This window comes from Homo sapiens, chromosome 16 (genome assembly GCF_000001405.40).
Source record: "Homo sapiens chromosome 16, GRCh38.p14 Primary Assembly".
Taxonomy (NCBI): domain Eukaryota; kingdom Metazoa; phylum Chordata; class Mammalia; order Primates; family Hominidae; genus Homo; species Homo sapiens.
The window spans coordinates 527,421-555,367 of record NC_000016.10 but is presented as its reverse complement, the minus strand read 5'-3'; the positions used below and the strand labels follow the sequence as shown (position 1 = coordinate 555,367).

At 65.2% G+C, this 27,947-nt stretch overlaps 1 protein-coding gene and 2 non-coding genes across 18 annotated transcripts, besides 1 other annotated feature; all 3 read right to left on the bottom strand.

The window, feature by feature from the left end:
- Positions 1 to 731: 731 nt before the first annotated feature.
- On the bottom strand, positions 732 to 27,656 carry CAPN15 (calpain 15). 16 transcript variants are annotated; one of them, XM_047434525.1, is made up of 15 exons: positions 27,339 to 27,656; positions 21,370 to 21,422; positions 19,226 to 19,339; positions 14,997 to 18,731; positions 7,081 to 8,551; positions 6,167 to 6,375; positions 5,897 to 6,080; positions 5,530 to 5,753; positions 3,941 to 4,066; positions 3,704 to 3,856; positions 3,156 to 3,317; positions 2,838 to 3,067; positions 2,597 to 2,763; positions 2,327 to 2,505; positions 732 to 2,053 (listed from the first exon to the last, which is right to left on the bottom strand). In XM_047434525.1, the coding sequence occupies exons 4-15, from the start codon at positions 15,176 to 15,178 to the stop codon at positions 1,852 to 1,854; spliced, it is 3,489 nt and encodes a 1,162-aa protein (XP_047290481.1). In that variant the 5' UTR covers positions 15,179 to 18,731; positions 19,226 to 19,339; positions 21,370 to 21,422; positions 27,339 to 27,656; the 3' UTR covers positions 732 to 1,851. The 16 variants fall into 16 exon arrangements, with proteins under 16 accessions (XP_047290481.1, XP_047290482.1, XP_047290483.1 ...); XM_047434526.1 differs by lacking the exon at positions 27,339 to 27,656 and having other exon boundaries at positions 14,997 to 15,275; positions 17,933 to 18,731; positions 21,370 to 21,412; XM_047434527.1 differs by lacking the exon at positions 27,339 to 27,656 and having other exon boundaries at positions 14,997 to 15,275; positions 18,070 to 18,731; positions 21,370 to 21,412.
- Positions 9,384 to 9,551: a silencer, noted in NCBI's record as "fragment chr16:595817-595984 (GRCh37/hg19 assembly coordinates)". NCBI's record gives its function as "represses an EF-1alpha promoter that drives an FKBP-Casp9 reporter gene in an ReSE screen in HepG2 liver carcinoma cells {active_cell/tissue: HepG2}" and the evidence as "EXISTENCE:reporter gene assay evidence [ECO:0000049][PMID:32094911]".
- Positions 12,002 to 12,091, bottom strand: MIR3176 (microRNA 3176). Its single transcript, NR_036137.1, has one exon. It is a non-coding gene; the product is annotated as a microRNA 3176 (primary transcript).
- MIR5587 (microRNA 5587) lies at positions 20,000 to 20,052 on the bottom strand. The gene has a single exon (NR_049852.1). It is a non-coding gene; the product is annotated as a microRNA 5587 (primary transcript).
- Positions 27,657 to 27,947: the final 291 nt, after the last annotated feature.

Here is a 27,947-nt window from a genome sequence, read left to right as displayed (position 1 = left end):
GCTCTGTGCCAAACAGGAGCGGGCACGAGCCCGGCCCCCACCCACAGGAGGAGTGTGACGTGGCGCAGTCGCGGAGCAGCAGGGCCGGCGTCCGCGGGCACCGAGGTGAGATGTGTTCTGGCAGCTCCCCGCCGCCCGAGGCCCGCCCGGAGCGAACACTGCTGGTGGCTTTAATTGCTTTCACATTCGATACGCTGCCCGTGACAGCCTCTTACCCCGCGCCGGCCGCACCCCAGCCCCCAACTCCGTCCAGGGAGACAGCAGAGCCTCCGAGCGGGCGCTTTGCTCAGCAGCACCCGTGTGGGGGCAGAGGCCACCCTGGGACGAGGCTGGGAGGGGACAGGAAACTTTTCTCCCCACGCGCCCCCTCACTCCATCTGCTCCTGCCGGGTGACTGATGGGTTCAGACAGAGCCCCCCGTGCGGATGCCTCGCTGGAAGAAGCTGCATGCGCTGCTGTCCCGTCTGCCCAGTCCTTCCCGGCCCTGGGGCTGCGGCCGCAGGGTCTGACCCCTGCCCCCGCCCAGTCACTCCGTCCTTCCTGGCTGCGTCCATTTGGCAGGGCCGGCTGCCCCTTACAAGCTTGTGAGTCACCCCACCACGGCCATCTCCAGGGGCCCCCACCCGTCCGCCTGCCCGGGATGCCTGGGCAGGGCCTACCCCTCAGACCTGCAACCTCCCCGCCCTTCCACAGGGCCCTGCGCGGGGCAACAGCAGGAGGAGGAGGCGTGATTACAAAACAAAACGCTTTTATTTGGTCCATTGGAGCCTGAGTCGGAAGCCACTGTGGAGAATCCTATGGTAAAGGAACGGGACTGACAATTGATAAAATAGTCTCTGTGTCACAAGAGCTGGCCGTATTTACAGGGTTAAAAATATTCACAGCTCAGAGTACAGGGAGGCCAAAGGGGAGTGGGAATGTTTCTCCAGGTGAAAAGGCCCCGGAAGCCCCTGCCGGGGTAGGAGGGGGAGTGGGGGCGAGGCCGGCCCGCTGCCGGGAGTGAGGGGCCAGGAGGGCACGCAGAAAGCTGGGCTCAGACGTCCACACACTCCTGGGCTTCTGTGGGGAGGTGGGAGCGGCTGAGCCCTGCCCGTGCCCACGATGTGCTGGGGTCCCTCTCTGGCAGGGCCGGGCCGAGGGACAGGGTTGGCTGAGGAGCCTGCTGGTCCCAGTGTGCCCGGCAGCAGTGAGCGGTGCTGAGAACTGGTGCCCACCCACAGCGGGCCTGGCGCCCGCCTGCACCCAGTCATGGCTTCGATCCTGGCGGGCACTCCAGGATTTGCATAGTGTCGCTGGGGGGCTGGCCAAGGGCCCCTTCTTCTGAGACAGGCACCGCCCCGGGACTCGCCGCTCCACACCAGGGCTCCAGGGACCCCGCCTGCCCTGTGGGGGACAGGGACCCGGGCTCTGGGGGAAAACTGACCTTATGCCCCGTGAGGGGTGGTCCCTGATCCCACCCCAGGGTCTTGGCCTCTGACACCCAGATTTGGTTTTGCGGACAGAGCTCCTGGCTGCCTAGCCCGCAGGAGACCCTGAGCCCACAGGGAGGGGCAGCCTGGCCTCGGCCCCCGTCGGGTGTTGGGGCTGGCAGGTGAGCGGGGCTGGTTCACAGCCCGCCTGGTTCGAGGTATTCTGCGTGGCGGCCAGGAGGCCTGGCCAGGCGGACTGTGGGGTTCAGGGAGGGGAAGGAGGGGGGCGGGGGGCCCATGGGAAGCTGAGCCCTGGGCTGGCAGCTCCCTGGGCGGGGTCCTGAGATTCTGGCTCAAGCGTCCTCTGTCGGGGTCTCCCTCATAAAGTGCGTGTGGGGGTGGGGGGTCCGTCTGTGCACAGCCCCTGCCCCAGGCATGGTGGTCACAGCGGTCGGGGCCCATGCAGACCGGCGACCTCTGGCGTGAGTGGGGGGCTGTGGGTCCCCTTGGAGGCTGTCCAGTCACTGAGGAAGGCCTGGGCTGCCTTGCGATGTGCCAGGCGGTGGGTGATAGAGAAGCCGGCGTTGCCCTCTAGCTGGGACAAGATCACCAGGACCTGCCTGGGGGAGGGGACCGGTGAGGACCTGTGGAGGGCAGGGTGGGGATGGGGGCAGGGCTGTGCCCACCTGTACAGGGGCAGGAGCAGGAGTGGGGTGACAAACACCCGTACAGGGGTGGGGGCAGGGGTATGAGCACACCTCTGCAGGGGTGGGGGGGGCATGGGTTGGGTGTGGGTGCAGCGGGGTAGGGGAGGGGGCACCTGTGCAGGGGTGGGGGGGCACGAGTTGGGTGTGGGTGCAGCGGGGTAGGGGAGGGGGCACCTGTGCAGGGGTGGGGGGGCAGGGGCGGGGGCGCACCTGTGCAGGGGTGGCACGCTATCCTGGGTACGCAGGCTGCCGCGTGTGGACACCACGTTGAAGCTGTCGGTGCAGTCACACTGCACGTGCAGGTAGGCCTTGGGGTGTCGGTTCTCCACCACCACGATGAGCCCCGCCCAACCGTGTGTCAGGTAGTAGCAGGTCATGCCCTCACGGCCCTGGGCACAGGAATGGCAGTTGTGGGGCAGGGGAGGTGCTGGGGCATACTCCCCCTGCCCCACGCCACCCTCCCCCGGGACCCCCACCCACCTCGTGCCGCTCTCCGCGGCTCTCGGTGAGCAGGATGATGGCGTCGGCCAGCGTGGTCGGCTGGGCTTCCACGGGCTCCACCATGACCAGCCTCGAGCTGTACACAGCCAGCACGTGGCCCGGCGGCTCTGGGGAGGCTCTCGGGACCCCTGCCGAGGGGCTGGAGGCTACAAGGACGGGCGTGTGAACCGCAGCCCTCCCCGTGGGCCTGGGGCATGAGCCTGGGGTAGGGGCCACGTACCCTGGGGGGCAGGGGTGCCCGGCAGGGGCGGCCCCCAGTGGTTGAAGGCGCAGCACACCACAGCGTACTCGCCAGGCTCCAGCATGACGTCGCAGCTGACGAACTTCTTGACCGCGCGCTTACTGTGGGCCAGGAGGCGGCCCAGGCTGAGGTGGCCGCCGCTGCCGAACGTGGCCCGGAACACCAGGATGCACAGGTCCAGCAGGTGGCTGTCCACGGCGTCCGAGCGCCTGCGCCAGACACCACGGGCCAGGGTCACGCGTGGTCACGGCCGCCAGCCTAGCCCAGCCCAGCCCGATGGGGCCCCGCAGCACCCACCTGCTGCCCTCCTGGAAGAGCGCGAACTCCAGCGAGGCCCGCTCCAGCACCGTGAGCGCTGTTACCCCCACGGGCGCGCTGGCCGAGCTGGGAAAGCAGCCCTGCACCCGCGCCTCCTGCCAGTCCGAGTGCACCTTACAGATGTCCACGGAGTCGAAGTACCTGCAGGTGGCGGGAGGACGGGGCCCTGAGCCTACCACGGCCCACACCTCCGTGGCTCAGCGCCTACCGCAACCACAGGCCGGTGACCCCAGCAGGTGCCAGCTGCTCCGTCACCGTCCTCTTGCAGCCCGGCCCCCGGGGGCCCATCCCTGAGGCCTATAATAGGAAGCCCTCCAGGGCCGGCTCTTCAGGGCGCTGGAATCTGCTGACCTGGGTGGACCTGAATTCTGAGGTTGGCACCTTGGAGCTGAAGCTCCAGGTCCCATTTGGGCCACGAACAAGCCGCCCCACCCCAGGTCAGCAGGAGGGACAGGCTTGTTCTCCAGAGAAGGACTCGGCCCTAGGAGGGCGGGGGCGGCGTGCACACCGCCCCACGGTGCCGATACCTGACAAAGTCGCCGTACTCCATCCAGAAGACACCCTCACTGCTGCCGTGCGGCATGAGCTCGCCACGCAGGTGCCCCGGCCAGTGTGGCCACTCGTCGGACCAGCTGCCGTTCCAGGAGAAACGGCCCCACGGGTTTCGGAGCCGCAGAAGCCTGCAGACCACAGGGGTGAGGATCTGAACCACACTGCCCGAGTCTCACCGGCACCCCACCCACCCTCAGCCAGGCCGGCCCTACCTGGTGCCCTGGACATCTCGGACATCCAGGATGGAGTAGGCATGCCGGGGGCGCAGGCCCAGGCTCTCGTAGGCCGAATCGTCCACCTTCATGTTGCCCCCGCCACAGGAGGCACCCATGAGGAACCTGTGTGGCAGAGCGGCCCTCACCGACCGGGACCCTCACCGACAGGGGACCCTCACCGACCGGGGACCCTCACTGACCGGGACCCTCACCGACTGGGGACCCTCACCGACCGGGGCCCTCACCGACCGGGACCCTCACCGACGGGGCGCCCTCACCGACCGGGGCCCTCACCAACAGGGGCCCTCACCGACCGGGGACCCTCACCGACCGGGGCCCTCACCGACCGGGGACCTCACCGACCGGGGACCCTCACCGACCGGGGCCCTCACCGACCGGGGCCCTCACCGACAGGGGACCCTCACCGACCGGGACCCTCACCAACAGGGGACCCTCACCGACCGGGGCCCTCACAGACAGGGGACCCTCACCGAAAGGGGACCCTCACTGACCGGGACCCTCACCGACCAGGGACCTCACCGACAGGGGACCCTCACCGACCGGGACCCTCACCGACCGGGGCCATCACCGACGGGGCACCCTCACCGACCGGGGCCCTCACCGACCGGGACCCTCACCGACCGGGACCCTCACCGGCAGGGGACCCTCACCGACCGGGACCCTCACCGACGGGGACCCTCACCGACAGGGGACCCTCACCGACCGGGACCCTCACCGACTGGGGGCCCTCACCGACCGGGGACCCTCACCGACAGGGAACCCTCACTGACAGGGGGTCTCACTAACCAGGGGCATGGCTGAGTGGGGCCCTCACCGACTGGGGGCATGGCTGAGCGGGGCCCTCACTGACCGGGGCCTTGCTGACCAGTGCCCTCGCTGGCCGCGACCTTGCCACCAAGACAGGCAGGCGCAGCAGAGAAGGGCCCACTCCTGCCTGTAGGGACCACGTGAAGTGTTCAGGAGGGTCTGGACCAGCCCCCTCCACCATGCCTGAAGCGCACAGGGCCTGAGTCAGGGGTGGCAGGCCTGGGTCCCCTGGAGGCCTTGTGGGGCTGGCTCTGGGCTCTGTGGCTCCCGGGCGGGTGGGGGGTGGGCAGCAGCACTGCCCAGGGTCAGCTGAGAGGAGGGCTCCGGGAGCTTCAAGGTGCTCGCACCGGGGCACTCCGAGGAGGCCCCTGGGGGTCGAGGCACAGACCCGCTGACCAGAGTGTGGCCAAACTCGACACGCCGCTCACGCCTGCCCCGAGGCGGATGACGGCATCAGTCTCGCCCCACGGCCCAGGTCAAACTCGACACGCCGCTCACACCTGCTCCGGGGTGACGGCATCGGTCTCGCCCCACGGCCTGGCCAGGATGTGGCCTTCCTGGCATGAGAAGGCCAGCTCCAGCCCCGCCCAGGGAGGGGGAGGTGATTGGGGCTGTGGCCTGGCCACGCGGGGTCAGCCCACGCCAGGGGCACCTCGTGGAAGCAGAACTGGGTCAGGGGCCACCAGCCCCACATCTCCCACCGCTCCGCCTCGCCTCTCCTCCCAACGCGGCTGACCACGCAGTGCCCCTCCTCTTACCCAGCCTCCTTAGAACTCAGCATTTTGGCCCAGATGAGGTCAGTGTCAACGGGCTCCTCGCGGGGGTTAGTGGAGCTGAGCTGCAGCGCCAGGCTCTCACAGGGGGCGCCGGTGAGCGTGGCCAGGCCTTCGATGGCGCGGCCCGCCTGGAGCGCAAAGTAGGAGCCGTGCAGCTTGGCCAGCGCCTTCTCGATGAGGGCCACCCACAGCTGCTTCCGCTGCGCCTGCAGAGGGCCGGGTCAGAGGCCACCCCCGCCCGCCCCCCACACTACCCGCCCTGGGAGAAGAGGAAGCAGCCGGCCTTGTTTTCGGGGCTGGGGTCAGAGGCTGCCCCTGCCGCCCGTGCCCACCCTGCAGGCCGCCCCACCTGTGAGAAGAGGAGGCAGCCGGCCTCATCACAGGGCAGCATGTCGTCCACCAGCACCGTGGTCCACGTGCCGTCCTTGCACAGCCGCACCTGGTAGGCGCCCTCTGCACACAGGCTGCGCGTGACCATCACCCGCTCCACCAGGTCCGGCCGCTCCGCCAGCACCGCCAGGGCGCTCAGGAACCTGCGCAGAGCCTCAGGGTGACCTCGCGGGGACCGCGGCCGGTCGCCCGCCCACCCGCCCCACCCCGGCCTTGGAGAAGGCCTCACCAGCAGTTCCCCAGCAGCCCCTGCAGGATGTCTGAGGGCCGCAGTGTGTGGAACACAGACCACGTGGCCCTGTGGTCCCTGAAGACGGAGCAGTTGATCTCCTGGGGTCGCAGCCACTGCCTCACACGCTGCTGCACGCTGTCACCCGCGGGGAAGCCGACAGACTCGGGCCCGGGAGGGAAGCTGTCATCCACGAAGCTCACATTGTTCTGCAGAGACCACGGCCATGTGCTCAGGCTGGGCAGGGTGGCCTCGCTCCACCTGGCAGGGACAAGACCCCACCCAGGAGAGCGCCCAAAAGCACTGCCTGAGCCCCAAAGGGACGGGTGGAGCGTGGACAGCCACAGACCTGGCGCCGGCCCTGTGTCGAGGAAGCCCTCAGCCCTAGTGGAGAGGCCACCGGCTGGCGACAGGTGAGGAGCAGGGGACGTGTGGGCCCAGGGGGACAGCGCAGCCCCCAGTGGGTGGCAGCACGACTCTGGCCCTGGCCCTGCTGGGGAGGGTGCAGGCTGCGCCCCAGTTGACCCGTGGGTGATGCCATCCTGGACTCTAGAGGGCGGAGCACGGGTACATCCCGACCTCGCACTTCAGCGGGGTCTCCACGCTGCCCCTGGGAAGCCCTCGCCTCCTGCGGCACATCAGACGGGGCTCGGGGCCCTCCTGGCCACGGTGGAGGGTTGAGGGGGGTGAAGGTCGTGCATCTCGGTCACCAGCAAGGACCAAGGGTCAGGAGGCCAAGCTGGACCCCAGGGCCATTGGGAGCTTGGAGCCTCGGGGCGGAGGGTGCTGCCCTCCCCATCACGTCTTAGGCCTTGTGGGCTCCTCCCCAGCCCATCGCCAGAGCCCAAAGCCTAGGAAGGGGAGGGCGGGAGCAGGAGGCTCAGGAGCAGGAAGAGGGCGAGGGGGCGCCTCACCTCCCGGCAGAAGGCCACGATGTTCTCCCAGAGTGCCTTGGCCTCGCCCTCGTCTGTCTGCCGCCGCTGCTCCACGTGCATGCTCTCCCTGCGCCTCAGGGGCGCGGCCCCCCGCCGCTGGGCCACCAGGAGCTGAGGCGTGTGGCAGGCGGCGCAGTGCTTGGCCCGCAGTGCGTTGAGCAGGGTACAGGCAGGGCAGGCCCACTGGCCCGGGCGCTCGGGCAGGACGCGGGCGGCCTTCTGGGCCGAGGACACCCGTCCGCAGCTTCTGCCGCAGGGGCTGGGCTTGTCGGCCCCACAGTCGGGGCAGTGGGTGGGGGGCTCGCCATGCTCCTGGAAGCCGTGCAGTTTGGAGCAGCCGCAGGCCGAGCACCTGGGGGCCACTGTGGGGTTTCTGAGCGTGCACTTGGCACATGACCAGGTGGTGAAGTCGGGGCTGGAGGGGCTGGCGGGCGTGTAACGCACGGTGTCTCCGGCCAGGTCAATGATGTCACTGCCCGAGGTGGAGCTGCCGGCCTCTACGCGGCTGGTGCCACCCTCCGTGGCCTCTTCCTCCAGCACACTCAGCCGCTTGCCAGACAGCAACTCTGCTAGGCGGGAGGCCCCAGCCCAGCCCGAGCCCTGGGGGGCTCCCCTGCAGCCGGCAGAGGGTGACGGCTGGGCAGCCTCAGGCACCGGTGGCTGCAGCTGGGGGGGAACCTCGCGTCGGCTGCGCGGCACGGGGTTGTTCTGCAGGGTGGACGAGAAGGGGCTGAAGGGCGGGACCCTGGGCGGCTCTGGTTCGGCAGCTGGGCCCTGGCTGGTGGCTGGGGGGTTGGCCTCGGCACCTTCCCCGGGGAGGCCAGGTGGAGGCGCGGCAGGCACGACGTGGAAGCCGGCCGGGGCCACCACTTCCGGGACCACCAGGGCCTCAGGAGGGATCCGTGGCAGCGAGAGCCTGCGTGGGCCCCCGCAGACGGAGCAGGAGCTGGCCACGGGCGTGTTGTGCAGCGTGCAACGCGGACACGCCCAGCCCCCTCTGGGCTCCGCCGCTCCCTCCTCCTCCTCCTGCTCCTCCTTCTCCTCCTCGTCCTTGTCCTCGCACTGCCCCCTGGCGGGCTCCGTGGCCACCAGCCCCGCAGTCCTCACTGGACCTGCTTCCTCCTGGCAGCTGCCCTTGGGCTCCCCCAGGATGGCGGGTGGCTTGGGGAGGACCCCGTTGAGGACTGGCAGGAAGGCAGCCCCAGGCGCAGGCTCCGGGGTGAAGCCGCACACCTCGCAGGCCTCCTTGCCCAGGAAGTTGCGGAAGGTGCAGCGGGCGCAGGGCCATTTCTGCTCCTCCACGCTGAGCCGCAGGATGTGGTTGAGGTCGGGCTTGTGCCGGGGAGCCTCGCAGATGGAGCACTGGCGCTGGCCGGCCGGGTTCAGGAAGGTGCAGCGCACACAGGACCACTCTCCGACCGTGGCCATAGACCCGGGCGAGTGGGTGTGGCTGCAAGGGAAGGTGCTCATCAGGGCCACCCTGTGAGGTCCTGAGTGGCTGGACCCCACCCTCCTCTCGGCCTGGGGAAGGCACCCGTCTGTGGCTGCAGAGCTACGGGGCCGAGGGCCTAGGGCTGAGCATTTGAGGCAGGCGGCGGTGGGGGCTGCCTCCACCCAGAATGGATCCATGGCTCAGGGCCCCTCTTGCCCGTTGGAGGCTCAGCAGACCCCTTGAGCCACACAGGATCCTACAGAGAGGGCTGAGCACCCCACAGCCGGGCTGCTGTTCCAGGGCACTGCTTTCTCTGTCACCAGGCCTGTGGACGGCAGATAGCAGGGGGTCCCGGCCAAACTCAGGACCAGGTCGTCCTGGGCGTGGAAGAACAGGTGCTCAGACCTACGGAAGGGCAGGTGCATGGGCCGGGGCCTGGGGAAGGCACAGGCTGATCTGAGCAAGGGGCCTCCCCACACCACAGCACAGCCTCCGAGACAGACTGGCTGCTCTGCCTGGCAGAAAAATCAATTGTTCTTGTAAATATGGCCTGAATCTTGTGCTCCATCTAAACCCTTTTGGTTCAGGAAGAAAGAAAACCTGCCTCTTCATAAGAAGCACAAAAACAAAAAGTCTCCGCGAGCAACACGGGTGTTCTGTGGAGCCGAGCGAACTCCGTGATGCTGCCTTCCCTGCGCTCAGCCCCGCGTGGCGAGGGCTCTGAGCTGCCCCTGGCAGAGTGGACGGGGGTGGACTGGGCCCGGCGAGGCTCAGGGCGTCCAGCTGGAGCAGAGAGACCCAAGGCCGGGAATCTGCTCTAACAGCGGGCTTCTGTGAAAGCCCAAGCAATCTGCCCGTAGACAGCCAGGCCTCTCCCCGCCATCACCACTCGGAGAAGGGCATGGATGCAGCTGTGGCCGGCGGGCTCCCGGCCGCACCTGCACGTTCCTCGGCCTGGCTGCCGAGGCGGCACAGCCCAGGCGTCCGGCCTGGGCCCCTGTGGGTGGCACAGTGGCCATGATCTTTGCAGCCCCCACTCCGGGAGGTGCCTTCACAGACTCTGCACCCCGCTGACCGCAGGTGCAGGCAGAGGTGGGCTGGGCCTCCTGGGACACACCCTCCCTTTGGCCCTGTAGTTGTCACCGACTAGCAAGGACAGCCTCACCAGCTCCAGAGAGGAGAATGAGAACCCGGGTCCCCAGGACCAAACAATCGCCAGCGGGGTGTGTCTGCTGGGAGACACCTTTCGGAGTCATCCTGGCAAAACCCAGGTGGGTCAGGAAGACGTCTGCACTTCAGGAGGGTTTCAATGAAGTCAGAACAAGGCCTAAAGTTCAAACGTGGCCCCGGGACACGGGTGAGGAGGGCGAAGGCAGGCCACGGCCCTTCTGTGGCTGGAGACGCTGAGGGGAGTGTCACTGACCCCGCAGTCTGCGCTGTGCCGGCCTCTCTCGGTGGGCCGAGGTGGAAGGGGGCCAGGGGTCAGGGGTCAGCGGTGGGAGACCTCGGCAGGGCCCCCACCCTCCCTGCCCTTCTGCCCTGGTTCTGGTCTCCACAACCCCCCAGCCACTCTAGGGCCACCCTCACCTCTGCAGGGCCTGGGCAGGTTCATGGGCTCAGAGACCCGAAACCCTTACAAAGATGTTGTTTTGAACTTTAGAGATGGGGTCTGATTGCCCAGGATGGTGCAGTGGCTCGCGCACGGCTCACTGCAGCCTTGACCTCCTGAGGCCAGACCGCCAAAGCCTGGAAGTAAAAGCTCGCGTCAGGAGCCCAAAGACCCAAAGCCAGGCCTGAGCGAAGCCCTTTTGGAATTCTCAACCCAGAACGCTCCTGAAGTCGCAGCCACACGTGCTCAGCAAGGAGCCCTCACTACTGCAGGATGGTTACCTTCGAAGGGAGCGGGCTCAGGGCAGACGACGTGAGGGGAGACGACGACGTGGGGGGAGACGACGACGTGAGGGGAGGCGACGTGGGGGAGGCGACGTGGGGGAGGCGACGTGGGGGAGGCGACGTGGGGGAGGCGACGTGGGGGAGACGACGACGTGGGGGAGACGACGTGGGGGAGGCGACGTGGGGGAGGCGACGACGTGGGGGAGGCGACGTGGGGGAGGCGACGTGGGGGAGGCGACGTGGGGGAGGCGACGGGCCGCTCCTTACTGCACAGAGGCCAAGCTGGATGGAAGATCGAGGCAACTGTACAGAAAAATCCAGCACAAAAGACCCGCGCGCCCCAGTTATCTGGGCGTTGCCGACACTCAGCTCCAATTCAAAAGGGAGGTGATGAAGCCGCTCGCTGCGTGCAAGACAGAGCCCGCCCTGAAGCAGCCGGGACAGCAGCACCCGGAGCGTGGAGGCCGCGGGCCTGTGACTGGCGCAGCCCCAGTCCTGGGAGGCGGCCCCTTTCTTAGGAAAAGTGAGGAGCAGGAAGCTGCATTCTGTCCCCCGGGGCCTCGGTCAAAGCCACCAGAGCCCTGAGGCCACACCGAGAAACACAGATGCCCCGTCCGGCCGGGGCAGCCCCGCAACCTGTGCCCAGACAGCTCTCGGGGCACACCGGGGTGCCAGACTTGGTCGGCAGCTCCTCCTGCTGTGCCCAGGGCGGGGGATACCATGGGGGGCTCTGCTCAGTGCTCTGAGGGGCAGGCGTGGTGCCTCCCTCGAGCTGGGCTGCAGTCTCCTGGTCTGGCCACAGCCCGGCGCCGGTCAGCCTTGCCAGGGGGGGTCTACCCTTGTTGCCTCTCTGTGCTGAGCCGCCGGTGCCCGGCCCGTAGATGACTTACTGATTGAGGGCGCCAGGCACTCTGTCAGCTGTACAGGGACCTCAGCCCCACGCCGGCCGCATGGCCGCATGGCCGCAGGCTGCCCTGGCTCTCCCAGGCTCCACCAGCCTGTGCACCACCCCTTCATCCATGTGGGGGAGCGGTCATGGGGCCACAGCACCTGCTGTCCTGGGGCGTTGGGAGAATTCAGCGGCCACCAGGGCAGCGAGCCAGGCAGGCAGCTCTTCAGTAAACGCCAGGGCTGTCGCGCTGACCCTCCCCAGTCCCGGCGCCCTCCGTCGGAGCACGGCAGGGGTCGCCTGTGCATGCACGTGGTGGGGAGGGCTCCGCGTGTGGAGGCCCAGCTGCCTTCCCGCAGTCTGCTCGCCCACCGCTCTCGCCCATCTCTAGCCTGGGGGTCTCCTCACCATGCACCTTGGGGGCCTGTTTGCAGCAGCAGACAGGAGCTGCCTGGAGCCCAGGCCCCACAGCAGCGGGCACGGGCAGGAGTGGCCCCAGGGATGCCGACCCAGGGGAGGGCCAGGCAGGAGGCCAGGGTGAAAGAGAAAGAGCGGCGTGGCGTCATCATACACCACGGCCTGACCCCGCAGGCCAGGTCCAAAGTCTAACACACGCCCCACATACCCGGCACAGCAGACCCCACGCCTGCCCCGCGGCTCTGCCTCCCTCCCCATAGCCAGAGCCACGGCCGCCACCCCCGGTAGTCCCAGGCCAGTCCCTGGGGATCCCGGGAGTGTGGCCCGAGGCTGCCGGGAGCTGCAGACTGGAGAGGCCATCCCGAGGTCTGAAACTCGGCCTGGTGCTCAAAAAGCAGGGGCCGAGAGTCCTCTGCCCTCTGGAAAACGAGAAAGGGAACGACAATCCTTTCTACATTTTTCTGTTTAAGTTTTTTGAGACACCGTCTAGCGTCTCACTGTGTCGCCCAAGCTGGAGTGCGGTGGCACGATCGCAGCTCATTGCAGCCTGGACCCTCCCAAGCTCAGGGTTTGTATTTTTATTTTGAGACAGAGTCTCACTCTGTCGCCCACACTGGAGTGCAGTGGTGCAATCTTGGCTCACTGCAACCTCCGCCTCCCAAGTTCAAGCGATTCTCCTGCTTCAGCCTCCCTAGTAGCTAGGATTATAGGTGCCCGTCACCACGCCCAGCTAATTTTTGTTTTAGTAGAGATGGGGTTTCACCATGTTGGCCAGGCTGGTCTTGAACTCCTGACCTCAGGTGATCTACCCGCCTCGGCCTCCCAAAGTGCTGGGATTACAGGCGTGAGCTACTGCGCCTGGCCAAATTTTTTTTTTCTAATTAACCAGCTATGGTGGTGCACGCCTGTAGTTCCAGCTACTTGGGAGGCTGAGATGGGAGGTTCTCTTGAACCCAGGAAGTAGAAGCTGCAGTGAGCTGTGATCACACCACTGTACTCCAGCCTGGGTGACAGAGTAAGACCCTGTCTCTAAATAAATAAATAAGTGAATGAATGAAAAAAAGACAGGCACGGGTGGATGAGACAGGGAGAGAGGCCCCACATGGCTGGCCACCAGGGAAACGCAGATCAAAGCCAAGGGGACACCAGCTCCCACCCCCTGGGACGGCCAGAATCACAAGGACAGACAACGGCAGGAGCTGTCGAGGGAGTGGAGACGCCAGGACCCTCCCCAGCGTTGCCGGTGGGAACTAGGTAATGCAGCCGCTGCGGAAGATGGCTTGGCAGTTCCTCAAGACATTATGAAAGTTCACCACACGCCCCAGCAATCCCACTCCTAGGTATCTATGCAAGATAAATGAAAACAGGTCCACGCAAAACCTCGTAAACAATGTTCACAGCATTGTCCACAGAAGCCACGTGGAAGCAGTCCTAGCGTCCATGAATAGATAAAATGCGGTTCATCCCGCAAAGGAGCAGTGAATGAAACTGCCTCGGGCTGCAGGTGCATGAATCTGGAGGGCACGGTGCCGAGTGAAGAGGCCAGACACGGGGCCCCACGTCCTGTGGCCCCACGTCCACGCACCTTCTGCACAAGGCAAACCCAGCCAGCCACGTCCTGTGGCCCCACATCCACGCACCTTCTGCACAAGGCAAACCCAGCCAGCCACGTCCTGTGGCCCCACATCCACGCACCTTCTGCACAAGGCAAACCCAGCCAGCCACGTCCTGTGGCCCCACATCCACGCACCTTCTGCACAAGGCAAACCCAGCCAGCCACGTCCTGTGGCCCCACATCCACGCACCTTCTGCACAAGGCAAACCAAGACAGGAAGCCGGTCAGTGGCCGTCTGGGGCTGAGGGTCCCTCTGGGCTGCGGGATGCTGTAACACTGGACTGTGGGGCTGGGGGTCCCTGTGGGCTGTGGAATGCTGCAACGCTGGATTGCAATGACGGCTGCACAACTCTACAAACCACTAAGAGTGACCAAACTGCACTCTTTTAACAGGTGAGTCTGGTAAGTTCTACCTCAACAAAGCTGTTGTCGGCACACGTGGAGATGCTCACTGGGAGGCGGCTGGTGCGGTAACACCAGGAACTGGGAGGCGCTCCGGTGCCACCACACGCAGGAGGAGCACAGACCCTTCCTCTGCCGACCACCAGGCCCCACACGGCCCCTCCCCGGCCCTGCCTTTGCCGCGTCTCTCTGTCCATCAGGGTAACTCGCAGACAGGGCTCCAGGGCTCCCCCACACGGCCCCTCCCCGGCCCTGCCTCTGCCGCGTCTCCCTGTTCATCGGGGTAACTCGCAGACAGGGCTCCAGGGCTCCCCCACACAGCCCCTGGCTAATCCCCTGCATCCCCAGTCCTTGTCGGCCGGAGCTCAGGCCTCAGCGTGGATGCCACCTGGAGGCTGGTTCCCAGGCCTGGCCACCTGCCATGGCCTTGCCCACTGCCTGCAGCTCCACGCCCGTCCCTCCCACCTGGGGGCCAACAGACAGCAGGACATCGTCCCCCGTGGGAGCTGCCGCCAGGTGCAGCCTGGCAGGCCCTTTTGAGTGTGAGACGCAGGCACATTGCCTTCAGAAGCCAGGCCTGGACCCGCTGTGAGAGCAACGGCGGCCACTGCAGCACTGGCCCCGAGGCCCCGGGCCCCTGAGTGTCCCTGCCTCCAGTGAGGGCCAGGACGGGGTGACGGCAGGAGCATCGGTGGGGTCCAGCCAGTCCAGACCTCACCACCTGGACTGCCTCCAGACCAGGCACCTCAGAACCTGATGGCAGCTCCTGAGGGACGCAGCGGGTAGCCAAGGCCATGGTGACAGCTGTGAGGAGCCAGCACGTGGAGTTCGGCCACCAAGCCATGTGGCCTGTGACCCCCGGGGGGGCAGCAGGCGGAGCCCAGCGAGTGCTGGCAGCTTTGAAACCGTGGGCAGCAGGCAATATGCCCAGAGCCTGCAGCCGCCAGCGACCCCAGCCCAAAAAGAAGCTTCAGGAACAGCTTCTCTGCGTGGAGCAGCACAGCCTGTGAGAAACACAGGGCCGCCGGGATTGGGCGCACTAGCCCCCATCCCCACCACCAACCAGCCAGGCCGAGGCCGGGGTCTCAGACCTGCTCAGCTCCTGCACCCTGGGGAAGAGAGCTGCCACAACTGGAAGGAGCAGGGACCCACTTCTCTGCAAGCACCTCTGCCAAGGAGGGGGCACCCTGAGAACGAGGCCCTCTGCCCCCGGGAGCCCTCCGGGGCCACCCCTCCCCACCTCTTACCTTCGGGCCCGGGGCCGTGGGGGCTGGTGCTGCCGGCTGACCAGGGCACCTCCCCAGACGGGCCCCCCTGGGCCGCTCCTACACCAGCCAGCCGCTGCCGGGGGACCCGGGTAGGGCGGTCCCCCGGGGAAGCTGTGGTCCGACTCGGTCTCTGCGGCCAGGGAGGAGGCGGAGCTCCCCATGGCCCCCCGGCCGGCGGCCGTGCTGAGAGCCGGACCTGGTCACCTCTGGCCAGCAGCGGGCGAAGCGGAGCATGGAGGGAAGAGACAGGACGGCCGGCTGGGCAGAGTGACACACAACAAAAATAAACAGACAGAGAGAGAAAATAGAGAAGAAACAGCATGATTCACACACACAGCCCGGGAGGACTTCCCAGCATGCCCAGCCGCCTGGGGTAGGCTGAGGGGACATCTCAGTGCAGGGCCTGCGGCCCGACTTCGGCACCCACAGGGCTCCTCCCTCGGGGCCCTAGGACACCCCCCGGCCCCCAAAAGCCCGGCATCACGTCTGTGGTATTCAGAGACGTTTTATTCCTTGGTGAGAAAAGAGATCACACGCTTTTGCTTTATCACAGAAGGAAGGGTCAAGAGAACGTCTACCCAAAGGTAGGCAGGGGAGGTAGCAGAGGGCGTAGGGAGCTGCTGCAGGCCAGGCTGGATGAAGATCTGGGGGGCCGCTTCACACAGCTGCCCACATGCCACTCTGGAGACTTCCAGAAGGACGGGAGCCCGACCATGCCTTGTGCACCCACAGAGCCAGGCCCCGAGAAACAAGGACCCTGTGAGGCTATGGCTGAGGGCGGGGGCCGGTTCCTGGGGTCTCCCCTCCAGAGGGGCGAGAGCCACCCCTGCTGGGAGGCCTGGGAGAGGCACAGGCTGTCCAGGGCCTCTGACACGCGGCCCACCTGTGCTTCTGGGAAGGCCACCTTACCCCCTCTGGCTGAGGAGAAATCAAATACAGTTGAGAACGTTAATCCTGAGACGGGAGGACCCTGCCCGTGCAGGCAGCTGCTCTCCCCAGAGTCCGATACACTCCCCTCTCCCTGCCAAGATTGGGGCCAAGATGGCGTCCCGGCAGGCTGGCCGGCTGTGGGTTGACCAGCAGTTCCTGCTGTCACACACGTCACAGCCCTTCTTCCAGCTTCTGATTAAGTCTCTGGGACACACAGCCAGCGTCAGGGTAGAGCTTAGGAGGAAAGGGTCAAGTAAGTGTCAAAGCTGCCGTGCGTGGGGGATCACCTGAGCCCAAGAGTTTGAGACCAGCCTGGGCAACACAGTGAGACCCTGTCTTTATAGAAAACTAAACACTATCCGGGTGTGGTGGTGTGCACCTGTAGACCTAGCTACTCAGGAGGCTGACGTGGGAGGATGGCGTGAGCACCACAGCTGCATTCCAGCCTGGGAGACAGAGCCAAAAAAAAAAAAAGCACCAAAGAACATATCCTTTGGAGCTCAGGGAGGCCTGGGGGCAGCCCTAGGTGAGCGGGCTGGGGGGGGTGGGGGTGCAGTTCCAGCTTCTCCCCCGCGACGATGGGGAGCAGCAGAGGGCAGGGATGTGGGGGGCCTTTCCAGTCAGTGCTCTGACACCCGGGAGGGGCCTGCAGCTCTGAGGCCACAGGGGCTGAGCTCAGCGAGGCACGAGCACCTGGGATCGCACAGCAGACGCGCCAGCCCTTCCCTGGTTCCTCCCCACAGCCTTGGGGACAGAAGCTTCAAGGGCAGGGGCTGAGGGGGTGAGACAGAGAATTCTGGATCCCCTCTCCTTTGAGGCCTGGGGCAGAAGCCGCCGAGTCCCCCGTGTGGTGATAACGTTCGCCTGAACCACTTCACTCGGCACGAGGGTCCGTTTTCTCTGAAGGTGCTGGGGTCGTGGGAGGGTTGAAGCATTGCGGGCCCTGCACCCTGGAGACCCTGCCATCCTGTGGTGGCTCAGGCCTGCCCCGTAGGCAGAACGGTCACAGGACACACGGGGCCAGTGTGGGGTGCGGACCAGAGCCCAGCCCTAAGCCTGGTCCAGCCCGCAAGTCAACAATGGCTTTTACATTTTTAAATGGTTGGAAAAAAATCAAAAAAAAAAACAATACTCTGTGAGAGGTGGGAGTTCCATGAAATTCAGGCCTCGGGGTCAGCAGGGCACAGCCTGGCTCACTCGCCTGCAGGCGCTTCTCCACAGGGACCACCCTGTACTCACACCTGCCCTCGAAGGGGCACCTGGCGGCCACGCCGGAGAGCGCCGCGCAGTGTGGACGGGGCCACGGGAGTCGTGGCGGATCTCCTGGTATCCACGTAAGACAGGTGGAAAGGAACAGACAAAACAAGCCTTGGCGACGTGCTCTGTGTGATCCGAGGTATCTGAGACATCGCTGCGTCCGTGTGAAGCGAACGTAAAACATGACGGAGACATCCAGGACCCGTTCTCCAGGCCGGGTCTCTGGACGTGCCACACTACAGGCCCTGCAGCCACCAGTGCTGGCGGCCTCCACAAGGGGCAGCGCTCAAACATGCAGGACGCAGGCGAGGTCCACGGGGTCTCGAATGCCACACGGAAGCAAGGCCGGGAGCCCAGCACGCACGGAGCAGGCTCGCTAGCAGGGAGCCCACGCATCAACCCAGGGCCTCTCGCGTGGCTACGCCAGACGCCGGAACCACCCAAACGGCCCCTGCGTTCCCCAGCCCAGGCCACGCAGGAGTCCCTCACGGGAGACGGGTTGGGCATTTCCGACACTCCCCTTCTGTAGCCAAACCCTGAGCGGGTCAGGGCGGGGCAGGGCTTGGGTGGGAGCGGCGACTAGCGGAGGTGCCACGGGACAGAAGCTGCTTGCACTGGGCCCTGAGCTGGTTTGGCTCTGACAGGAGCCCTGCCCGTTCTGTGTGAGGACTGCACACCTGCCAGGGCCAACCTCAGCTCCTTCGCCACTCACCCACCCACGCACTCACCCACGTGGCACCTGGGGTCACGCGTGCCGCTAGAAACACAGGCTCCTACCAGGCCCCGCCTGCTCCTCACTGATGCCTTTAGGCCCAAGGCAGAAGTGGTGCCCAGCTGCACCCAGGGCAGGAAGCGAGCTGCTCACCAGCCTCCTGCTCCCCTGCGCTCACTCAGAAAACCTTTCTTGAGCTGGAGCCAGTCTCAGGCAACTGACCCTGTGGGCCCCATCTGGACAGGAGGGAGGCCTGTCCTAGGAGAGCAGGGACAGCACAGTCCCCTCCCGTGGGTGCTCGGAAGAGAAGAGAGGACCCTGCAGAGAAAAGCAAACGTCCCTGTCACAGAGGCTGGACAGCTGGCTCTGTTAAGCCCTCTCCGGGGTTTTTCCAGCACACGCCAGGGGATCTCCAGAGATGGTATCGCTGAACCGCCCCGATCCGCTGCCAGAGGAGTCAAGAGCCCCGTGAGGGGTGCCGGGGGCCCTGCCCTGGCTGGCGAGGCCCACTAAGGAGCAAGAGCTCCCGGGACACAGCTGCCAGCCACGTGCCAACCTGAGGGTCCCATCGCAAGGGTGACTGTGGGAAACTGGCACCGATGCTCTTCCCGAAATCCACCCTGCTGGCCTTCCCGAGTGCAGCTGTGGGTCCTGGGTCCCCCTGTGTTCCGTCCACTCATGATGGACAGATGCTAGTACAGGATGAGCAGCTACGGAAAAGGCTCCCAGGCCAGGTGCAGTGGCTCACGCCTGTAATCCCAGCACTGTGGGAGGCCGAGGTGGGTGGATCACGAGGTCAGGAGTTCAAGACTAGCCTGCGCAAGATGGAGAAACCCTGTTTCTACTAAAAACACACAAAAAATTAGCTGGGCGTGGTGGCGGGCGCCTGTAATCCCAGCTACTTGGGAGGCTGAGGCAGGAGAATGGCCTGAATCCGGGAGGCGGAGGTTGCAGTGAGCCGAGACCGCGCCACTGCACTCCAGCCGGGGCGACAGAGCGAGACTCCGTCTCAAAAAAAAAAAAAATAGGCTCCCAGCCCGCGTTCCCCTAGAGGGAGGGAACTGCATTTAGGAGGAAGACTCCGATGGGAGGGCCCCAGGAAAGAGGAGCAAGAAGTGGTGGGAAGGAGGGAGGGCAGCACCAGCAGCCACCCCCAGGGACAGCGCCCAGCCAGGGCTGACTGCATCTCGGCCGTGGGTGCTGGCTCCGGCCAGACCTCGGCAGGGGGGTTATCATGTCCAGGGCCACTGAGGACAGCAGGGACAGGGCCTGCTGCGGCCAGCCAGAGGCTCTTGGGAGGAACGCTCACCTGCCACTCCCAGGTCCGGCCCACCTCAGGGCCTGGGCACACGTGAATCACCCAGTGCAGTGGCCCCGAGGACGCAGGTCAGGTCAGTCCGTGGTTCCCATCCTGGCTCCCTGTCTGAATAACCGGGGGGGGGGGGGGGCGTGCAGGGGCACTGTCACCAAGGAGTGTGCCCAGGCCAGGCCGAGGGACAGCAGGGTGAGGCCCCCGCAGAGCATGCCGAACTCTGACCCCTGACCCCAGGGACATGCCCTGGGCCGCTGCTGCTCCTGTAGGGCCTGCCGCCGGCCAAGCATCTGTGCTGCTCCCGTGAGCTGCATGTGCCCCCCGGGCCTCTGCTGTGGGCCAGGCTGTTTCAGGTGCTCGCGAATGGGAACCAGCAGGAGCCGTGACCACAGGGCTGACTCTCAGGGCGGCGCCTCAAGAGTGGCCGTGACTCATGACTGCCACAGAGCCAGGCTGCAGCCACGCCCGCCTCTGGGCTCCCTGGAGGGGCAGGGTGCGGAGGGCCCCGGGCTGTGTGGATCCATGCCTGACCCCCACAAGTCCAACTGTGCAGCTCCCCGCCCTCCCTGGGAGCCGATGCCCTAGTTTTAAACGGGGCGGTGGCCTAGATCCAGCCTCAGAGAATTGCAGAGGTGAGGCCGCCACTGCCCTGTGGGGACAAGTGGTTAATGAGCAGGGCCAACTGGCCGGTCCCTGTCCTGTATGCCACACACACACCCCGTGAGGGCAGCAAGGAGCATCCAGCCAGGGGACGTGCACGAGAAGGGCCAGGATGATCACACTGCCCGGGGCTCAGCACAGGGCTGAGTCCCGGAGGTGACCATTGCCGCCCCGCTCCATCTGCGGCCACTGAGGTCTGCTGGGGGTCTCTGGTGCTGGCCTTGACAGCCCACCCGTGGCAGGACAGGGTCTCGAGGTGCCTCTCGGTAGGTGGTGGGCTCAGTGGGGGTGACCCGTGGGGACGGAACGCATGCTCCTGAGGCTCCAGTGGATGCAGGCAAAGGCACCTCCCGGGGTCAGCGTCCCTACCTGGGGAGCTGGGAGCCCACATGGGAGCAGGGCTGGCACAGCGACCCCCAGCCTTGCGCGGGCGGCACCCACAGCTGTGTCCACTCCGCATACACTCCTCACTGTCTCGCTAACTAATCATGTACACGGCTGTACCCCCGAGCCCTCCCCTGCCCCGCAGGTGACACAGGCGTGTCCCACTCACACAGCACCTGCTCCTGGGCCCTACATCTCCGTCAATCTTTCACAGAGCCATCTTGCCACCATGGGAACCACAGCGACCCCAACAAGGATGCCCCGGTGTCACCCCTGCCCGAGCTGGGGGTGTGGGGGGCAGCAGATGGAAAGCGGGGGCCCCTGTGTCCAGGCAGCTGGTGGCCTGGCCTTGCCCCACGGCAACCCCACTGCGCCCTAAAACTGCACCCACCAGACCAGAGGCTGCTGGTCCAGGCAGGAAACAAGAGCCAGCCACTACCGGGACGAAGCTCAGTCGGTGCCCACAACCTGAAGACAGGCAACTCTGCCTTTGTCCCCACTGACGCTAAGGCCCCTGTGGAGGAGATGACCCCAAGGACAGGAAGCTCCTGCATGAGTCGGGTGGGAGGGCTGAGGACAGGGCTTCCCATCGTCCCTACAAGAAACAAGGCCAGGGCCCCGCCCTGGGGGAGGACGTGGACTCCGACCGCCCGCCCCAAATGACAACTGGCAGGACAGCATTCTCCAGAAACAGGTGCAGGCCGCTCCCCAGGGACCAGGCACCCTCCTGGCTGAGGATAGCGGTGGGGGCCGTGCACAGGCTCCTCACCAGCCCCAGCCCCAGCGCTGCCGTGGGGATGGGGAGCTCCATCTGGGGGCCGGGGCCACAGCACAGGGGAGGTCCCCAAAGGGACAAACACCCCTGTCGGGACCCCGGGCCGCCCTCACCGTCGCCTCCCACGACAGGACCACGGCCCAAACGGCTGGGAGAACGAGGCTCTTCAGGGCAGGCAGGGCTGCCGGCCTCCAGGGGTTCTGTGAATCAAGGGCTCCGAGAGGCCCCCCAGCCGTGGGCACTCCAACCCTGCTGCTCCACAAACAGTTCTGCAGCGCAAGCAAACCCATAAACGAGCCGCAGGGCTTGGGAACAAACTCACCTGAAGCTGCAGCAAGCTCCCAGGCCCTCTCTGTGCCGCGTCTGGGCTGCTGCCTAGAAAGGGAGGCATTTAATCAGGCACCTCAGCTTCCACCAGGAGGACTCTGACCCTGGAACACAGAGCCCCGCCTCCAGCCCTCTCTGCAGGAGCCAGAGTCCCGGGAAATCAGCCCCGGGAGACCCTTCGCCTTAGAAGCTGTCCGAGCTTCTGTCCTTGGGTGTCTGTCCGAGCGCCAAAGGCAGCCCGGGGAGCAGCAGGGGCTCAGCAGGCTCCTCACTACCCTGGTTTAAGGCCCTTGACCTGTCCAGTGCGGTCAACCTCCGGCCAGCCAGGACCGCAGACAGGGCCATTCAAGATCCTGTCCGGACCTCCCACGGCCCGACCCTGCTACAAGGAGCAGGCCGTGGGCAAGAGTCCATGAGCGGGGCTGCAGAGCAGCACCAGCCAGGGAGGGCGGCCGAGCTTCCCAGGCACTGCCAGGGAAAGGTGCCCAGCTTGGGCAGGCACAGGCACACAGCCAGGTGGCCACCTAGACTCCCCCGGACCCCAGCCCGAGTGCCACCCGGCCACTACAGCTGTCAGCAGGGCGGCCACTGCTTCGAGCCAGGCGGCTTTGCTTCTCTAAGGTCATGCTCTCCATGGCGGACCCACTGCGGTGGGCAGGATGCTCACGCTTCCCGCCCTGTCCTTCCTGGGCCCTGTGTAGGGCCCACCATGGACTCCTCACTCAGCCATCACCCTCTTTTTTGTTGGTTTTAAATTTTTTATTTTATTTTTTGAGATAGAGCCTCGCTCTGTCACCCAGGCTGGGGTGCAGTGGTGCAATCTCAGCTCACTGCAGCCTCCGCCTCCCAGGTTCAAGCTATTCTCCTGCCTCAGCCTCCCAAGTAGCTCGGATTACAGGCGCCCGCCACCGTGCCCAGCTAATTTTTGTATTTTTAGTAAAGACGAGGTTTCACCATGTTGGTCAGGCTGGTCTCGAACTCCAGACCTCAGGTGATCCACCCGCCTCGGCCTCCCCCAGTGCTGGGATTCCAGGCATGAGCCACCATGCCCGGCCCCTCACCCTCTTTTGTGATCAGCATGAGGATGGTGTGCAGGTGTGTCCAGTGGCACAGGCATCACCTGTTTTTTTTTTTTTTTTCTCTGACAGAGTCTCGCTCTGTTGCCCAGGCTGGAGTGCAGTGGTGTGATCTCGGCTCACTGCAAGCTCCACCTCCTGGGTTCACGCCATTCTCCTGCCTCAGCCTCCCGAGTAGCTGGGACTACAGGCGCCTGCCACCAGGCCCGGCTAATTTTTTTGTATTTTTAGCAGAGATGGAGTTTCACCGTGTTAGCCAGGATGGTCTCAATCTCCTGACCTCAGGTGATCCACCCGCCTTGACCTCCCAAAGTGCTGGGATTACAGGCGTGAGCCACAGCGGCTGGCTTTTTTTTTTTTTTTGAGACAGGGTATCACTCTGTCACCTAGGCTGGAGTGCAGTGGTGCCATCTCGACTCACTGCAACCTCTGCCTCCCGGGTTCAAGCAATTCTAGTGTCTCAGCCTCCCAAACATCTGGGATTACAGGCACACACCACCACGCCCAGCTAATTTTTGTATTTTTAGTAGAGATGGGGGTTTCGTCACGTTGGCCATGCTGGTCTCTACCTCCTGACCTCATGTGATTCACCCACCTTGGCCTTCCAAAGTGCTAGGATTACACGCATGAGCCACTGAGCCCAACCGAATTCTACTTTTTTTTCTTTTTTTTTTTTTTGAGACGGAGTATAGCTCTGTCGCCTAGGCTGGAGTGCAGTGGTGCCATCCCGGCTAACTGCAACCTCCGCCTCCCAGGTTCAAGCAATTCTACAGTCTCAGCCTCCTGAGTATCTGGGATTACAGGCACACACCACCACACCCAGCTAATTTTTTTATTTTTAGTAGAGATGGGGTTTCGCCATTTTGGTCAGGCTGGTCTCGAACTCCTGACCTCAGGCAACCCACCTGCCTCGGCCTCTGAAAGGGCTGGGATTACAGGTGTCAGCCACCGCACCCAGCCCCGACTTCTATTTTTAACAGGAAAAAAGGACCAGACAAGCACTCGTGGTTTTTGGCACTTCTCTACTTCTCTGCTTGCCATGTGGTGGCAGAAGCAGCCCTGGTCTGGGCAGCCCGGTGACCTCACTGGTGGCCAAGCAGAAGCCTCTGGGACACAGGGGGCACCTGTCACCCCAGAGAAGGGGACGGGGGCCTTGGGAGCCGTGTGGCCCTGGGCACCTGTCATCCCAGAGAAGGAGACGGAGGCCTTGGGAGCCGTGTGGCCCTGGGGGCACCTGTCACCCCAGAGAGGGAGACGGAGGCCTTGGGAGCCGTGTGGCCCTGGGGGCACCTGTCACCCCAGAGAAGGAGACGGGGGCCTTGGGAGCCGTGTGGCCCTAACCCAGAGGAGGCCTCGTGGCACCTCTTTCCCCATCAGCTCCAGCCTCTCTGCAGCCACCTTTTCAGGAGGGGCAGGAACTCCAGAAAGCTCCAAAACTTATTGCCTTTCTCATTACAGGGGACAGGGAGGTGGGGGGTAGGGAGTGGGGATCAGGCAGGGGCAGAAGGTGTAAGAGGTTCAACCTGCCTGGGGGACTTCACTTACAAAGGGCAGAGGCTGGGTGTGGTGGCGCCCACCTGTAGTCCCAGTATTTGGGAGGCTGAGGCAGGAAGATCACTTGAGCCCAGGAGTTTGAGGCTGCAGCGAGCTATGATTGCAACTGCACTCCAGCGTGGGCAACAGAGCACGACCCTGGCTCAAAAAAATAAAACTTAAAAAATGTTAAAATAAAGGGCAACTTTTTGAAGAGAAGTGAGGGGAAGGCCATGAGGAGGAACTCCCTCATTAGCGGAGCAAGCTCCTTCCACAGAGGAGCAGACGCTGCAGTCACTGTGACATTTAAAAAGCAGCGATGGCCCTGCGTCCTCCTGACATCCCGTCTAGGACCGCCAGGGAGGCGGGGATGGCAACCCTTGAAGCTTCCCTTTGACCTCAGGGAATCTGACAAATCGTTGTATCTGGAGGCCAGGATGGCGAGGCTGATGCCCATGACCCGACGGGACTCATGGGTCCACCCTGGTGCCCTGGATGAGTTCTGGGGAGGGCGGCCACACTGCTGGCTTCCCATGCAGCACTCAGGCAGGCCCCTCAGAGTGTGCAAAGCAACAGCCTGACGCAGCTCATCTTGGGGGGCCCACGGGGTCCCTGCCCTGGGCTAGGATGCCCCCATCCTCCCACAGACCCCATTCCGTGCACCCTGTGGGCCCAGCAGCAGCCCCTGTCCTAGTGGTACAATGTGGCTGTCCACAGACTCCACGCCCAGACACCTCCCTGGGCCACGCACCGGGAGGTCTCCACCCAGCTGTGTGTGACCCACATAGTGACAGGGTGTGGCTGAACGGGTCTAGGTCCAGCCCCAACCCACAGCCTCCCTGCAGCGAGACACACATGCAAAGATCACAGGCCAGCAAGCCTGTTCTCTCAGACTCAGAAACAGGCCGAGCTCAGGTGTGGCCGTGTCCACGCCACAGGGGCTGCTGTGCTACTTTCCTGGAGCACGCAGGAGTCCCCCTGGGCTGCCAGAACCCAGGTATTCAGAACTGCCTGTGGTGAGGGCCAACCCCAGGTGCTCACTGACCGCCTGCTCTGCGCACGGCTGCATAGCGCTAGACACTAGGCCTACCAAGAAACAGAAACGGACCCTGCCCTCGGCGCCACATCCAGCAGGGAGACAGGGCGGTCCCAAGTGTAAGTGCTGCAGGCAGATCCCACAGTGGGGAGCCAGGGACCAGCTACAGGGTCACATGAGAACCGCACAGACCTCAGCGTTCTCTCCAGCGTGGGGCATGAGAGGCCAGTGGCTCCACACAGCTGAGGCACAGCCTGGTGGTGAGAAAACCCACATCCACACCGAGTGGGTACGAGGGATGCGGAAGGGCTTTAGGCAGAGAACAAGTCCCACTGGGCTTCTGGGCACTCCTGCTGTGCCAGGGGTCAGAGGGCAGGACCAGAGGGACAGAGCAGGAAAACAGGAGAGCAAAGCGCACGAGGCAGCCCCCGGGTTGGGGGCCTCCTTCTTCTGTGTCTTATGAGGAAACCACCCAAGCCCACCCTCCGTGTCTCCTGTCATTTCAGCCTCACGGTCCAGGGCCGAGTGGCCACCCAGGACAGACACAGACCTGACAAGTCACCAGCCTTCCTGGGTTTCTGTCACTGTTTTTCAAAGACCCCAAGCTGTTTTGTTTAATGATGTCGTCCTCCTTCTCAGCACCTGTCCACGCCTGTTGCCATGAGTAGAGGCATCACACCGCGGGCCAGAGGGCTGGACCAGGGGCAACTCGGCCACCAACGGCCGAGTTCTTCACTGAGCGGCTCAGGCCCATGAACAACACCTGTGGTTCCGGAGGATTTTCCGGGCAGCAGAATCCTTCCCTCCAATTGCCTCGTGTGAACTGGTGGAACCAGCAGGAGGGAGAGACCAGGCGCTCAGCCTCCCTCGGCCCCTCCCCTGCCATGAACAGCTGTCTCCAGCTTCGGTTCCTCACCTGTGGCACTGGGGTTACCGGAGTGCTGCCCAAGGCCAGGGCAAGAAGCAAGTGAGGGGTGCCCGGAGAGAGAGCCAGCAGGGCTTGAGGCTGTCACACAGATGCAGCATTACAGGGGACCAGCCACTTCCTGCTCTCAGAGACCACGGTCTGTGGAGGCCCAGACAAGAGGCCCTGCGCAGTTATGCAGTTACTGAGCCTCGGGCTCTCCTGGGGACTCAGAGGTCACTGGCTCCTCTGCCAATCAAGGAGCTCTGGAGAGCCTCAGACACAGACAGAAGCAGGAAAAAGAGGGGTGCTCCTCCCGCAAGCAGAAGGACCTCGGAGGAGGCAAGGCACACCCAACCCAAGGCCAGGCCAAGCTGGTTTCCTGCAGGACCTGCCTCCCCCAGACAGGCCAGAAAAACAATTTCTCTTGCCCCACTTCACAGTTGAGAAGTCACTCAGAACCGGAAGGGAGAATCACCCCTATATCCTTGCCCAGCCCCAGACTCTGGAAACGCGGAGGCAATTACGGGGCACTCCCACACTGAACTGTGACTCACGTTTCCGCACCCCTCAGACCTGGGCAGAGGAAGAGATCCGGGTTTCCCGAAGGAGAAGCACACAACTCTTCAGCACCCAACGGAGTCCCAGTCTTCCCCACTGGCCCCACACACCCAGGCCTGGCCTCAGGTTCTGGGCCTCACCATTGCTTTCCGGGTCTTGTTACCTGCAGTCCGGTAACAAACTCCAGAGCAGTAAGGGGGCCCCGAGAGCTCGCCCGGCCAGGGCCAGCTGACCACACAAGAGTTCCCCCGGTCAGGACTAGAGGGGCCCCTTCTGCAGCCAGCGGGAGGACAGCAGATTTGCAACTTCCCAGCTGGTGCCGCAGCAGCCCCAGAGGAACACGGAAGAGAACACTGGCATGGCTGGCACAGACGGGGCTCCCGCCAGCCCCTCCACGCCAGGTGGCCGCCCCCAGGCCGTTCCCCAAGTGAGGGGAGTGATGCCCGCACCAAGCACAACATCCCTAAGGCGGCCAGGACCGCACGATGGGCCCGGATATAAGGGCACTCAAGGGCAGGCAGGGCCGAGGCCGCCTCCGGTGTGCGCGGCCCCCGGGGCTGGCCTCAAGTGACCCACATGGCCCAGGTCCCTGCCGACTTCCCGCCTTCCTCTGGGTTCCTCTGCGAAGCATCGCCCAGCCCTGGCCCCCACCAGCCTGGAGGCGCCAGCGGGCGGCGGGCTGACCCCACTCCGGGGGCCCTGCCGTCCCTGCCCTGGCTCGGAGCCCGGCGCGCCCGGCCCCCGAGGCCTCCTGCGCCCCGCCGAGCCCGCGCTCCCCGCCGCCCTCCGGGCCCGCGCTCCCCGCCCGGGGTCCCCGGCTGGGCGCCCGGCCGGGCCCGGCCGACGGGACTCACCTCCACAGCCCGGCGGCGCCGCCTCGTCCTCGCGGCCCGGGCAGCGCGGCCCCGGCCCCCGGGCCCGCTCGCCCCCGCCGGCCGATCCACAACTTCTGCCTCCGGAGAGCGGCGGGGCCCCTCTCGCCGCCGGCCGCGCTGCCCGGACGGCCTCCCGCTCCTCAGCCGCGGGGCGCCCCGACCCGGCTCCGGCCCCGGCCCCTGCCCGCGTCCGGCGCCCGCCTTACGCTGCCTTCGTAGCGTAGCGCCCGGCCCGGGCCCCGCGGCTACGGCGCGCCCGGGGCGCACGCGGCGCTGTGAATCGCGCGCCCGGACTACGGCTCCCACAGGGCTGCGCGGCGCCGACGGGGCGGAAGCTCGGGGCGGTGCCTGCGCGAGGCAGGCCGGGAGTTGTAGTCCTCGGGTGGCGCCCTCCCAGTCCGCCGACCGCCCGGGCCACTTCTCCTGCCCTCGCTGCTGGAGACGGCCGGGCCCGAGGCCTCGGTCCCCGGGAGGCGCCGCGCTCCAGGATTATCAGGGAGTGGGGCGGCCCGAGGAGGAGCTGGAACTACAACTCCCAGAGGGCCTTGCGAGGGGCACGGAGGGGCGGGGCCTGCAGCCGCGGCGTCT